The sequence below is a fragment of the Homo sapiens genome, chromosome 3, assembly GCF_000001405.40.
Source record: "Homo sapiens chromosome 3, GRCh38.p14 Primary Assembly".
Classification (NCBI taxonomy): domain Eukaryota; kingdom Metazoa; phylum Chordata; class Mammalia; order Primates; family Hominidae; genus Homo; species Homo sapiens.
The window spans coordinates 71,434,281-71,449,092 of record NC_000003.12 but is presented as its reverse complement, the minus strand read 5'-3'; the positions used below and the strand labels follow the sequence as shown (position 1 = coordinate 71,449,092).

The following is a 14,812-nucleotide window of genomic DNA, read 5'->3' as shown; positions in this document are numbered from 1 at the left end:
AATATTGTTTGATTACTGTTTCTATGTAGTTTCCCCGAATTGGCAGGCATTCTGTTTCTGAACCAAAAACCAGTTTGGGGTTAGGTCTGGTCATAACACGCATTTTGTTCTTTGATTTCATTGGAGCTAGGGTTTGACATTAGCTAATAAACTTTGCATGCCCACGCCTTACTAAGTTGTACAGTTGCAAGTGTCCTCCATGAAAAAGACGTGTGCCGGCATTCCCAGGTCAAAGTTTGCTAAGCAGGTTTCTAAGGATTCTTACTTGCCAGTGATTTGGTTCTGAAATTGTGGCAATGGTAATTTGGTATTCAAAACAGAGAAGTTTGGAATAGGCATCTTAGCTGGGGACAGTAAAGCAGCCGACAGGAATTATCTTTGTTGTAGACACTACCACCATTACCTACTAGTTAAGGTATTTTGCAAAGTGTTCTTGAATGCGTCCCATTTTATTCTTAAGGAAAACTCCTTTTTGCGGGTACCATTATTACCTACTAGTTTACATATGAGGACATTGCTGCTTGGAGAAATTAAATCATTTACCCAAGTTCACAGGTCAATAACAACAGACCCTAACCCATGAGCCAGTGCTCTTAATACCAGTGATCTTAACCACTGTGTAGTCTTTGCTATGTTCCATTAATTGTCCAGGGATATTATTATAGGTACAGTTTGTCTTTTGGGAGAGGTACCAGAATTTCTTTCTTAAGTATTGCTTAAACCTTACCAGTCAACAGCCTTTCTTTGCAGAATGAGGAAAGCATTTAGTGCCCATACTGTTTTCGCAGACTTAATGGAGCAGGATTTTGTACATTTCTTTGTGGAAGCTGTTCAGAGAGGTGTGTGTAAGGGGAAAGGAAGCAGTGGGAATCCTTCACCCTGGTCAGGGGATAAAGATCTCCTGATAGACTAGGAGGTGTCTGTCAGTCACTAAGATTGAAATCTTAGAAGGAGTCTATTTCTGTGCTGGGGTTCCGTCCCCAAGGCTGGCAACATTCACATTCCTCGGCAGGGAAGCGTTGTTTAGAGGCATCAACCCGTGAAGGGTTCCATGAGGCCTGGCACTATCTGATGTGTGGTGTGTATGAATGAAGCCTCTTTCCTCAAAGCTGAAATCAGTTTGAGAAAACTGGAAGAATGAGTCATTTGAGGTTCTTCTCTCTGAACGTGTCTACACTTGTCTCTGGCTGATTCTATACTTGCATAGTTGTAAGTATACTGTATAGATTCTATACTTGCAAATGTTGAAATTTCACTATGATCTTGAGTAGGGTGAAAGAGAAAGACATGATATCCAAACCCCTCTCCCCCTGCCCCATTCTGGTGAGTATTCAAGTTTAATAAAAATATATGAAAAAGGCCAGATTCTTTTAGAAGGGCTTTGCTTCTATCTGTTGCAACCTGTGTCTGAACAGGTAGGGCACGCTGGACGTGGATGAGCTTCCTTTAAAGAACCATGCTGCTAGCGTGAACCTCATCCACACGCTCCCTTAGTGGGTCCTCTCAGTTTCTGTCTGGTAACTGGACATAGGCCTCGATGGTTTCATCTGTCCAGAAGGGAAAAGTACAATGGAATGGGAGCAGGTTGGTATGCAGACCTGTGGAACTAGGCCACTGACCTACTTCCTTCCAGCTGGAGTGATGCCCTTTCAGATCTGACTCCAGCCATGTGGCACCTGGTTGCCAATCACTGCCCAGATTGGCAGGTTCCTCCCTGACTCAGGCCATTCATCTAAGTGGATGTGACTGTTTGTAAGCTCGTTGGGGTGCCTCATAAACTAGCTTGAGAATGTGTAAGGCAGAGGGGCCTGGAAACATAGTGGCTAAATTTAAACAGTCATTCTTGCTGTATGTGTAGACATAGGTGTAGACAGAGGTATTCAGGCCACAACTACATGCTAACTTGTATGGTATTCTAAATAAGGTATTTGGATGATCACTGGCATTTATTTACTGAGGTTTCCTATGCAGAGCCCAGATTCCTGACTTCTTGTAACAAACCAAAAGATGTAGTAACACCAGCCCCTCTCCCATGCTGGGGTCAAGTGCCCATTTAGATGGGGCTTGTCAAAGCTGTCTGTTAGGGATGCATTCCCACCCACTCCCTAGTGTTTGAGTCCCTGCCTGCTTCATCCATTGAATCCATTGAAGCAACTGCCTGGCCCCTATGGGCATTTGAGTTTGCAACCCTGATGGAAAGCGTGTCCTGAAATAGATGTACTGGTATACACAAGTATGTAGACATAATCTGTATTGACACTTACTCCTGCTGAGGAATGTGCAGCCAGATTTCTGGAAAGTGCCAGTTTTTAAAATCCCTTCAATGATTTAAACCTGCTGGAAGCTGTGCATCCCATCTAAACAATGGGATCCATAGAGAAACATACTCATTGGAGAATTACGAGGCATATAATTTTGTCTTTAAATTCTTATGAGTGAATTGTAAGAACATGACTTCATAGGAACCTCTGAGACATTACAGTGTTTTAATAACACTTTGCTGCTACATGCAGTGGTTCATTTTTACTTTTATTAATTTTTTTTTTCAGTGTGTGGCAGCAGGTGCCCTGGGCACCTCAGCCCTATCTCTAGCTTCATCCTCCTCTGCCTCTGGGAAGCCGCCTGGCTCCCTCCCTCCTTAGGGCAGAGGCTCCAGGGGGCATGTCTTGTCTGCGAAGAGTTTACGAGGTTTCACCCACTCCTTCATTCTTGAACATGCTTTTTCTCTGCTTATTACCCTCCCTGTTTCCTCCTGGGCTGCCAACAACATATTATATTACCTCCATCTGCAACCAGAGCTGCTACCACCACTGTGCCCGAGCCTGAATTTTCATAGTTATATTAAAAAAAATCAAGGGTGCCCACAAGTGACAGCAGCTTTTATGGAAGCCAGTCTTAGCAAGATGGCAGAGCACCCATTTCTCCATGAGGCCCAGGCTTCTCAGAGAAGGGCAAGAACTGTCTTCTGCTTTGGCCATCGTGATGACACATTGAATGCCTGAATTCATTCACTCACTCACTCACTCACTCACTCACTCACTCACTCACTCACTCACCTATGAGTTGTTTTCAATAGATACTTGTATGTGTTAAAAGACACACATAGGCCGGGCACGGTGGCTCACACCTGTAATTCCCAGCACTTTGGGAGGCCAAGGTGGGCGGATCACCTGACGGCAGGAGTTTGAGACCAGACTGGCCAATATGGTGAAACCCCATCTCTACTAAAAATACAAAATTAGCTGGGGTTGGGTCACGTGCCTGTAATCCGCAGCTACTTGGGAGGCCGAGGCAGGAGAATCACTTGAACCCAGGAGGCGGGGGTTGCAGTGAGCTGAGATTGCGCCACTGCACTCCAGCCTGGGCAACAAGAGTGAAACTCCATCTCAAAAAAAAAAAAAAAGGTATAAATATCTATTGATAGATATTTATATCTATTATTAATATGCCAGGCATTGTTAATTTCAATACTGTGTAAAAACAGACTTGGGGCATACATAACACAGAAACAAATGGGAAATTTGAATTATAGGGAATTCAACAAAGAAAGGCCCTTTATATAGGGCAAATTGACTTGGTTGAAAGCCATGGAGTTCATACTACCTTAGAATCTTAGAACTTCTTGAGAAGCTCTGGACAGAGCTCATTTTTATTTTCCAGAACCTTTGGGAGGCAGTATATTCCATGGTTAAAATGTGGACTTCAGCATCAGCCCCATTCCGGTTCAGGCAAAACACTGCTGAGCTGCCATTTACATTGCTGGAGATGTGTGTGGCACTCGTTTCAGTTGTGCAGTACACCTCCTTCCCAGCTGTTCACAGCAGCCCTGATTTAGGCAAAACTGAGTTTGAATTCCTGCTTTTGCCACTTACGGTTTGTGAAGCAGCCTGTGTTTCTGTAGCCCTCCCACACTTGGCCTCCTCATTGGTAAAATGGGGGTTATGGCTCTTCCCTCACAGGTACCATGGAGAACACTAAGGACTAAAGGTATGTTGAAGCTATTTATGTCATGCCTGCCACGTGGTCTGCACTCCAGAAGTACTTGCTATTGCTGTTATTGAAATGAAAGATCTCCCTTGCACATCTTCCCCTGCCCGGCCACATTGTGCACTTTGAAAAGGATATCCTTCACATTCGTTTTCCAGAAAATTGAGGTCACTGACTTATTTCCTTCTTGAACCCTCTACCCTCCAGTCCCCATGGCCATCCCCACTCCCCCCAATCCCTTGGGTTAAGTCACAGCAGAGGCATGTACAGAGCATCCCTCGCAAACATCAGTTGCCTTTCTGTCTGCAGCAGGCCTGTTTGATTTTGGCTTCTTATCTGATGTAGGGAAGAAGCCGCACTCCTCTGAGCCTTGGGTAGGCCAGTTGTGGGCTGGCCCGTAATAATACAATTATGAAGGTTAACAGGAAAAAGTGGGGTCCAGGAGCAATTCCAGGCAGCTGGCAGGCCTGCTGAATTGGAAGCGCCCCACCAATGAAAACTGCAGCAAGAAGCAAATTAAACCTCCTATCTGCCATCTCACTCTCTTTTCTCCCCTTTCCTGTTTGGACTTGAAAGGCGATTGGAGCCAGGGCCCTGACAGTTGACGGAAGTGCTGCAAGGAGAGAGTATTTATTTACAGTGAGTCGTGGTGATGCTTGTTCAGGATGCGGTTTCTTGCAGGAAGTTCTGTCCCCACCCCCGGGTTTGATCATTTCTCCAAAAAAAAAAAAAAAATCCTTGATTGTTTGAGGCCTCCTCTCTGACTTGGAGCAACATTGTAGAACCTGTCTGTACTTGGAGGGTTTGCTGAGTGCACCTTTGTAGGAGGGCCTGGAGTGGGACGAGAGGCAGCCAGTGGGCCTGGCTCCCTCCAGATGTGTTCAGGCGCAGCAAAAATCATTAGGCATTGAAAATAGGGAAGTAGGCCGAGTACACGTGTGGTAAGCTGTGGTTGGCGCAGGCCAGTCTGTTCGTTAACAGAAACCAGTGCCAATTGACGTTGATGTACTAGGCGTTTGAGAGAGAAATCACTTTGAGGCAAAGTCAGTAGCTATAGTGCATAGGGAGTGAGTATTTAGGTAGAAACCAGTTGGGCTGGGGCTGGCTGGTGAAGCCCCTCTGAAGGAGGCTGAGTGCCAAGCTGCTGGTCCAAAATGTGGGGTGCTTTTTGCCTTTGGGGGTCTCATAGAATATTGGGAGAGAAGGGTAAAAGGGGAAATAGTATTCTGTTGAAGAGGTTATTTTGGTATATTCTTGGATCATCATAAGGCCACCCTACAATACTATAGAATTTTCTCATCAGCTGAGAAATAGCCTCCATTCTTTATTTAAAAGTATATACAAGTGAGAAAAAAATGACAAAAGGATACAAAATGAGACTCAGCTCCCTTCTTTAGTTTCAGAAATCCCTAGAGCAGGTCACTTGGCAGCTTGCTAGGGATGCAGGTTCTGGGGCCCTGTTGGAGGGAGAGTGGCAGAATCAGAAAATCTGGCATGAGGGCTGGCAGTCTGTGTTTTAACCAGCCCTATAGGCGATTCTGATGGTCATGACTGTTGAGAAGCATGGAGAGAAGGCAGTGGCTTTCCAACTCGAGTGTGCATCAGGGTCACCTGGAGGGCTTGTTAGACCGACAGACGTGAACCCAGAGTTACGGTTAGATAGGCGGAATACGTGCCCATGTCCTGTTCACAGTAGGGCGACTGTCATTAACAATAAAGTATTGTATATTTCAAAAGAGCTAGAAGAAAGTATTTTGAATGTTCTCATTACAAAGAAATGATGAATGTTCGAGGTGATGGATAAGCTAATTACTCTGATTTTATCATGACACCAAATATACATGTATCAAAACATCACACAGTACCCCATGAATACATACAATTATTGTGTGTCAGTTAAAAACAAAATAAGGGCCGGGCGTGGTGGCTCACGCCTGTGATTCCAGCACTTTGGGAGGCCGAGGCGGGTGGATCACCTGAGGTCAGGAGTTCAAGACCAGTCTGGCCAATATGGTGAAACCCCATCTCTACCAGAAATACAAAAAAATTAGCCAGGTGTGGTGGTACATGCCTGTAATCCCAACTACTCAGGAGGCTGAGGAAGGAGAACCTCTTGAACCCAGGAGGCAGAGGTTGCAGTTAGCTGAGATCGCGCCACTGCACTCCAGCCCAGCCTGGGTGACAGAGCGAGACTATGTCTCAAAAAAATAAAAAAAAAATAAAAAAAGATTTAAATAAAAACTGCAGGTGCTGGAGCCCCACCCTCAGAGATTCAGATTAAGTCCCAAGTGGGGCCTGACAATCTGCATGCTTTCATTTTTTTGAGCAGGCAACTCCGCCTGCAATCCCCTTCTCCCTGGTTTTCCTGATGGAGCAGGCCTGGGCTTTTGACAAATCCAGACGTGGGAGTGACTGTGATTGTTGTCAAAAAAACAAAAACAAAAGAAAAAACCAAGACCATGGAATGGAGGAAGCTTCTCTGTGGCATTATTACTGGGGCCGCGGCTAGTTTGGTGCAGGATGATACTGACGACAGAGAGGACCTCCGTGCCCATGTAGCTTTCTCCAGACATCCCAGCACCCAACTCACTGCGCGAGACTTGCATGAATAATTTCACTAAAATCAGCTGGACGTTCTCAAGATTCAGAGGAAATCACCAGTGTCCTCCTGTGGGTGTCTCCTTGTGTGTTTTAGTTGATCTCTGAATGTGGTTTTTTTTTTTTTTTGGCTTTTTAAGGTCTTCAGCCATTTCTGACAGGTGCTGTAGTTGGCCTGTTGTAATATGCAAAACCTATACAAAGACGTGTCCTTAGTCCCTGTGTCAAGCAACTCAGTCTGGTTGGCTAATGGTTAATGTAGAGAAGTATGCGTACAATGTCAGGGTGTTACAGTATGGAGCTATGCAGAAGGAATGAACAACTGGGGCATCTGGGACATATATGGTCAAGCTCCACAAAAGTGGGGCACCAAGTCTGAACAGGGCTTTGAGGCATGAATATGAGTTCCCTAGATGGTTCAGCTCCTGAGATGTTTAGTGCTTGGGAATTCTCAAAGTTGTGTAGGCATGACTTCTGAATGGGAAGGTTCTGGTGAAGATATCGTTAAGAACGTAGTGGGTGAAGCCCTCTTCATGCAAATAACATCAGGCAGAACAGAGATTTATTATGTGCAAATGACAGTAACCTTTATAAAATCTAGAAAATAATTTTTCCCCAATTTCCCCTCGAATCCAAACATTCTTCTGCAGTCTGAGTGGGGTTGATAGGCTGCCAAGATGTTGAAGGGCCTCAGTGGGAAGGGACTTGGCTAACAGTTCCCAGTGCCAGTGTTCTCTATAGCGTGTCTTGTTGAGCACTGGTGCCCTGGCTTGCTGCCCACAAGCCAGAATGAGTTTGAGAACTTGAGGGTTTACGAAGCAGAGGTAAGAACACCACCCTGGAGGTCTTTAGGACTGATTTAAAATTCCACCAGTGGTACTGACTTTGGACACATTCCTCAACCTCTCCAAATGGTTCCCTGTTAGTGACGCCGGGGGCATCGTAGGATCATTCTCCTAGAGCATTTAGCACAGGGCCTGACATGTTAGTGACTACTCACTCCACTGCCTGCTCACAGGCATGGGTAAAAGGAAGAGCAAAACAAACAAGATGCCTGAACTGCTAGGCCAATCTGGAGCAGAGCTGCTAACTTCAGCGCTGTTGACATTTGGGGCCAGAAAGTTCTTTGTTGTGGGGTCTGTGCTGTGCACGGTGGGATGTGTAGCAGCATCCTTGCCTCTGCCATTCATTCCTGCCCATGACAGTGACAACCAAGACTGTCTCCAGACATTTCCACATGTATGTCCCGTAGGGGTTAAAGCTACCTTCTACTTCCATGAGAATGACTGATCCATAGTACAGTCCCACCTAGGGAGTTGTGCCATGATTTGCAAAGTTATTTACCCTTACTAAAGGCACTGCTAAGCTAGGTCTCTAATCTAAAATATGGAACAAAATTTCACAAGAGGCAGCTGAAAAAAGTTTTATATTATCCTGTTTGCAATAGGGAATGCAGTTACCTTTAAAAAACCTGAAGTACTATCATAGCTGACAGAAAAAGAGAATTCCTAACATATACCTGGTGCATGCTTTCCATTTAATACCAGTTTCACTTTAAAATGTGAGGAACAGGGTAGGGTCTTTTGCTTGTTTAGTTTTCCAATTTTTTGTTCCTTATTCTTATTTTGTTTTATTTTATTTTTGAGACAGGGTCTCACTGTGTCACCCAGGCTGAAATGTAGTGGCATGATTATAGCTCATTGCAGCCTCAACCGCTTGGGCTCAAGTGATCCTCCCACCTCAGCTTCCTGGGTAGCTGGGACCACAGGCACATGCCAGCATGCCTGGATAACTATTTTTTTTTTTTTTTTTGAGACAGAGTCTTGCTCTGTCACCCAGGCTGGAGTGCAGTGGCACGACCTTGGCTCACTGCAACCTCTGCCTTCCGGGTTCAAGTGATTCTTCTGCCTCAGCCGATTCTTCTGCCTCAGGCTCCCAAGTAGCTGGGACTACAGGCATGTGCCACCATGCCCAGCTAACTTTCTTGTATTTTTAGTAGAGACGGGGTTTCACCATATCAGCCAGGCTGGTCTTGAACTCCTGACCTCGTGATCTGCCCGCCTCAGCTTCCTAAAATGCTAGGATTACAGGCGTGAGCCACCGCGCCCGGCACGGTGTCTCACTTTGTTACCCAGGCTGGTCTCAAACACCTGACCTCAAGCAATTCCCCTGCCTTGGCCTCTCAAAGTGCTGGGATTACAGGCATAAACCACTGCACCTGGACTTGTTTGTTATTTTTAATTGTGGTAAAATACACATAACAGAATTTATCATCTTAAATGTTTTGAAGTGTAAGGTTTAGTTGTGTTAAGTATATTCATATTGTTGTGCAACCAGTCTCCAGAACTTTCTCATCTTGCATAACTGAAACTCCCTCCTCCCCTGGCAACCAGCATTCTACTTTGTCTATGAATTTGACAACTCTAGATACCTCATATAAATGGAATCATATAGTATTTGTCTTTTTGTGACTGGCTTATTTCACTTAGCATAATGTCCTCAAGGTACGTGCCTGTTACAGCAGGATTCAGAACTTCCTCCTTTTTTTTTTTTTTTTCCTGAGACAGAGTCTCACTCTCTCGCCCAGGCTGGAGTGTGCAATGGTGCAATCTCCGATCAATGAAACCCCCATCTCCTGGGTTCAGGCAATTCTCCTGCCTCAGCCTCCCAAGTAGCTGGGATTACAGGCGTGCACCACCACACTCAGCTAATTTTTTTGTATTTTTACTAGGGATGGGGTTTTGCCTTGTTGGCCAGGCTGGTCTCAAACTCCTGACCTGAAATGACCTGCCTACCTCGGCCTCCCAAAGTTCTGGGATTACAGGCTTGAGCTGCTGCGCCTGGCCCCTTCTCCCTTTTAAAGGCTGAATAATATTCTGTTGAATGTGTGTACATTTTGTTTATCCATCCTTTGCTGGACACTTGGATTGCCACCACCGTTTAAGTATTGTGAATAATAGTGCCATGAACATGGGTGTACAAGTATTTCTTAAGTTTCTTCTTTCAGTTCTCTAGGGAATATTCCCAGTAGTGGAAATGCTGGATCATGTGGTAATTCTATTTTTCCTTCTTCTAAGTTTTCTTACCTTTTCTTAGCTGAAAGAAATAGAATGCACTGCCCTTCAGACCCCTCCCCACCCTTTCTTGAAGGTTTTCATTACATCACTGCTACCTTTGATTCTTTCTCCCATTCCCACCCTATGCACATGGACACACAGAAAGGTTTTCAGGAACCAGGAAAAGGCAATCGTTTGCATGCATGGTCCCAGGGTTCTGAGCAGCTCTCGTGCAGCCATAATCACACCTTGACCACTTTGTCATCAGGACCTGTGCTGCTTGTAGCCTGAAGTCTGCCCGAGCTCTGCATCTGTGGCAAGGCCTGGCACCCTCACTGCCTGTCTGCCACCTGCATAGGCAGTCCCATCCTTGTGCAATTTAATGAAACAGTGGAGAGGAAGATGAGTTGTGAGAGCAGCGAGCTGGTGTCTTCCTTCCTATAGAGCCTTGGAGAGCGGGTTGTAGCTCCAACCTTAAGGCTCTGTTCCTTGCCTCCGAAGAGCTCCTGTCCCTGCTACCATCCACTCTGCCCTGTGGTCTCCACCAGTGGGGTTGGGGAGGGCTGGGTGGGATGCTCAGTCCTCCAGCCTGTGTAATTTACTTTATATTCCGGTTCTGCATTGACATTCTCAGTGTAAGAAAACAGGAGAGCAAAAAAGCAATATGTTGAAAAGCTTGTATCTATGGAGACTGGTTTTTTTTTTTTTTCTCCAAATTAGACTGAAACCTCCCTAAATCTATATAATTCTATTTGCAGAATGGGCCTACCAAGCCTTGTGATGAGGACTAGATCTTGGCCATCAACTGCTGGGGGGTATAAATGAGGTCCAAAAGACCCAAGGGAGAGGCAGTCTCAATGTTTGGAGACCAAAATTATGTGAGTGGAGGGGAGCCTGGAGAAGGTGGCCGTAAGTCGAAATCCCTACTGTGCTAGGATGCTAAATCCTTTTGTGAGCCAGAGTTTCCTCTGCTGATGGCCAGGAGGATGGAGAGTCAGCCGAGATAATGGAATGCACAGGAACTCATGCCACAGCAGGTTACTCTTAAAGGTGGATAAAGAAGTGGAAATAGGATTAGTCTTGCTGTTTTCACATTTTTGAAAGCAATCCAAAAACACCAGTACTTTCCGGCCGATGTAGCTCATATTAAACGAGGCTGCCAGAAAATGAAGAATAAGGGACAACATTCATTCATTCATTCATTCAGAAATAGATTTTAAGAGCCAAGAATTCAGTGCTGAGCAAAACCAGACACAGTGTTCTTAAAGAGTCTACATGTTATTCCATTCCTGTAATTCCTGTGCGTAACTGAACATGTTAGATGCCTACATTTTCCTGAAGGTAATAAATTGTTCAATTATTTTGTTTGCTTTTATCCCATTACTTTCATATAACTAGTAGAGATAGATTCCAGTGGTAGAATCACATAAATACATTTCTTCTGGAAATAAGTCACTGTTATTGTTTCAATCCATGTTAATTTTCTACCCCTCCCATCAGCAGATCCGTGGGCTCTCTTTGACTCAATTTCGTGTACACAGCTTTTCTTCACCTCCTGGAACCAAGCTTTTCTTTTTGTCTGCAAGTGCGGGTGGGGCCCTGTCCTCTTGAGGCAGCTTGTTTTTCACCTGATCATTTTTTTGGTTTGGGTCTCTTACGCCCCAGCCAGAGGAACAGGCTCTTAATTCCTGTCCAGCAGGGTTTCTTTTTATTCCCAAAGGCATTATGATGATCACAGACTCGGAAGTTCATGCTCCTCCACCCTTTGGGCTTGCGTTTTATGCTGGGTGGAGAGAGAGGATGGTGGAGCCATTGCTGAGTGTCTGTGATACCTTCTTCTTTGGGGAACACTCAGAGAGACCTGGGGTGTTCCTGTGATGGGACCTCATTCTGCTCCCTCACTCTGCCCCAGTCCAGTGCATCTGCCATTCCTGGTGAGTCAGGAGAGCCCAGTGGAGAATGGCTGTTGGCTTCTTGTACCTCCAAACTCTGTATGTATTCATGATTTGTTTTCTGTTTGTTTTGTTTTGTTTTGTTTTGCTTTTGAGACAGGGTCTCATTCTGTCACTCAGGCTGGAGTGCAGTGGTATGATCGTGGTTGACTGCAGCCTCAACTTCCCAGGTTCAAGCGATCCTCCTACCTTCATTTCTCAAGTAACTAGGACAACAGTTGTGCACCACCAAGCCTGGCCAATTTCTGTGTTTTTCATAGAGACGGGTTTTCATCATGTTGCCCAGGTTGGTCTCGAACTCCTAGGCTCGAGCAATCTGCCTGCCTTCCAGAGTGCTTGGATTACAGGAATGAGCCATCATGCCCAGCTCTGTTTTCCTTTTTATACATTCTTAGAAGTGACATTGTTGGATCAAAGAGACTGAGAAACGTTAATGCCAGCTTTCTGTTTTTCAGAATGGTAATACCAAGTTTGTTCTCAATCAGCTTTGTATGTAATGGCCCATTTCCTTAAACTCCAAATAATGTGGGATATTATATGTGAAAATATTCCCTAATTTGATAGGTGAAAAAATGGAATTGTGTTGATCAGCGTTGCTTTGATCGGTCATGGGGCTTACATTTTGTTTCCTGTGTTTTAGATAGATGTCAAAGTTACGCCAAAATTACATTATTATAGCAGACATTTTGCAGTATTCCTGCCTACAGATCACCACTTGCCTGGCTGGCTCCAAGTCGGAGTTGGTTTCCAGGTATTTTGGTGTATTCTCATCATCATTCTCGGAGGATGTGCTCCAGACTTGGTTTATGACTACAGTCGGTTCAGTGCTGTTGGCTTAGTGAATCCTTGAAATTTTTTGTTCTTTTCTTGTTAGTATTATAAGGGCCTATGTGAGTCAGTTCCTTAAGGGTTTTATGGAAATACATGGAATTGTAATAGGGACCATATTTTATGACTCTAAAACTAGGATTTCTGATTTTTATGAGAGTGAGTCATGTTTATAGGGACGATAGATGGGGTATTTGAAATGTGGACTGCAGTGTTAAATCCAGAAGGTCTCATCACCACCAGGGCCAGCATTCCCCACACTCCTCAGACCACAAGTTCGGCGGCACAGTTGTTCCATGCAGTAACTATGCTATGGTGAAAATAAGTTGGAAAACACTGGCTTATACCAGGCTGCATCTTAGGATTTTCAGGTTTTAGCGTAGTAATGTGCTTTGTTGATCTCAGAGGGATTGTGAACATGTGTAAAGTTTTCCAAATGAAACTGCTTTGGAGGTGGCAGGGGCTGTTGCGGGGAGACAATGCCTTTTGATGACCTGAAGAGCCCATACCAGGAACAGTTTGGGAAATATGTAATAGGAATAATTAGAAATTCCTACATGGTATATAAACCCACATTCCCTGAAAAATCAGAAATGGTTTTCAGTTGTGACATAACAGGGTATTAATATATGTAGACAGATTCTCCCCCCTTTCTTCCTTTCTTCCTTCTATCCTCCCTCCCTCCTTCCCTCCTTCCCTCCTTTTTTCCTCCCTCCCTCCCTCCGTCCCTTCCTCCCTCCCTCCGTCCCTTCCTCCCTCCCTCCGTCCCTTCCTCCCTCCCTCCGTCCCTTCCTCCCTCCCTCCGTCCCTTCCTCCCTCCCTCCGTCCCTTCCTCCCTCCCTCCGTCCCTTCCTCCCTCCCTCCGTCCCTCCCTCCCTCCCTCCGTCCCTCCCTCCCTCCCTCCGTCCCTTCCTCCCTCCCTCCGTCCCTTCCTCCCTCCCTCCGTCCCTTCCTCCCTCCCTCCGTCCCTTCTTCCCTCCCTCCCTTCTTCCCTCCCTCCGTCCCTTCTTCCCTCCCTCCGTCCCTTCTTCCCTCCCTCCGTCCCTTCTTCCCTCCCTCCGTCCCTTCCTCCCTCCCTCCGTCCCTTCTTCCCTCCCTCCGTCCCTTCCTTCCCTCCCTCCGTCCCTTCCTCCCTCCCTCCGTCCCTTCCTCCCTCCCTCCAGTCCCTTCCTCCCTCCCTCCGTCCCTCCCTCCCTCCCTCCGTCCCTTCCTTCCCTCCCTCCCTCCCTTCCTTCCCTCCCTCCGTCCCTTCCTCCCTCCCTCCGTCCCTTCCTCCCTCCCTCCTTCCCTTCCCTCCCTCCCTCCCTCCGTCCCTCCGTCCCTCCCTCCCTCCCTCCGTCCCTCCCTCCCTCCCTCCGTCCCTCCCTCCCTCCCTCCGTCCCTCCCTCCCTCCCTTCTTCCCTCCCTCCCTCCCTCCCTCTCTTCCTTCCTCCCTTCTTCCTTCCTTCTTTCCTGCTTCCCTTCCTTCCCTTCTTCCTTCCATCCCTTTCTACCGTCCCCTTTCCCTCCTTCTCCTTCCTCTCCTCCTCATCCTCAACGTCCACCTTCCCTTTTGTCTTGAAGTCTCTTACTTTAAGCTCTTATGAGAAAAAGAATGACATAGCTGAAAACTCATGTGTTAATTATCAGTTTAAGAACTGACGACATGCCGTAAAGCTGAATAGAGTGGGCTGTGAAATGGCCATCTAATACCTGGCTATAGAAGATCAAAGGCGAGAGAGACGGAGGTGACGGGGGCCTGTTAGCCAAGCGCTTTAAACTGTTTGGCGGTCAGGACTCCTTGGTGAAGCTGAAAAATCTCTGAGTCTCTCTATTTGTGTGTGTGCAGGCATGTGTGTATATAGTACAAATGTTCATCTTCTTACTACCCAGAATTAATAACTGTTGACATTTGGCCATATTCACCTCTACTCTATTACCTTTAATAAATACAACATCTGTGGTAAGAAGAACTCTACTCTACACCATTTAAGTCTAACTCCTCACCTCCCTCCATCCCCTTCCTTACACACACACACACACACACACACACACACACACCCCATCCCCTCATGAGGGTCACCGTGTCCACCTTCTGGTTTTACTATTTCATATACATGAGTGCCCAGGAAGGCTATATAGTGTTTTTGTGTGTACATTTCTTTAATTTGCACAAGTGTACATAATATGTATGTGCATAAAACTTTTAAAACGTAAGGCCTCAGGTACTTCCTGGACCCTGGAAGCCCATTTCTGGACTCCTGTATTGAGGGAAGTTGGGACTTGGGCTTGCAGCAAGAGGGACTTGGGAGGGACAGCAAGAGGTGCAGCCTGCAGGTGGACTCCCAGGACTGGAGTGGGAAGGAGGTGTCTTCTGAAGCTGTCATCCTGACTGCGGGGGAACAAGTCTTC

The 14,812-nt window shown here is 46.1% G+C and overlaps 1 protein-coding gene across 10 annotated transcripts in view, besides 2 other annotated features; it reads left to right on the top strand.

Annotated features, from left to right (window-relative positions):
* Positions 1 to 14,812, top strand: part of FOXP1 (forkhead box P1) — a 629,271-nt gene that overhangs the window by 134,886 nt on the left and 479,573 nt on the right. The window lies entirely within an intron of this gene.
* Positions 4,588 to 4,727: an enhancer, noted in NCBI's record as "active region_20063". NCBI's record gives its function as "activates an Ori minimal core promoter by ATAC-STARR-seq in GM12878 lymphoblastoid cells {active_cell/tissue: GM12878}" and the evidence as "EXISTENCE:reporter gene assay evidence [ECO:0000049][PMID:35858748]".
* Positions 5,118 to 5,227: an enhancer, noted in NCBI's record as "active region_20062". NCBI's record gives its function as "activates an Ori minimal core promoter by ATAC-STARR-seq in GM12878 lymphoblastoid cells {active_cell/tissue: GM12878}" and the evidence as "EXISTENCE:reporter gene assay evidence [ECO:0000049][PMID:35858748]".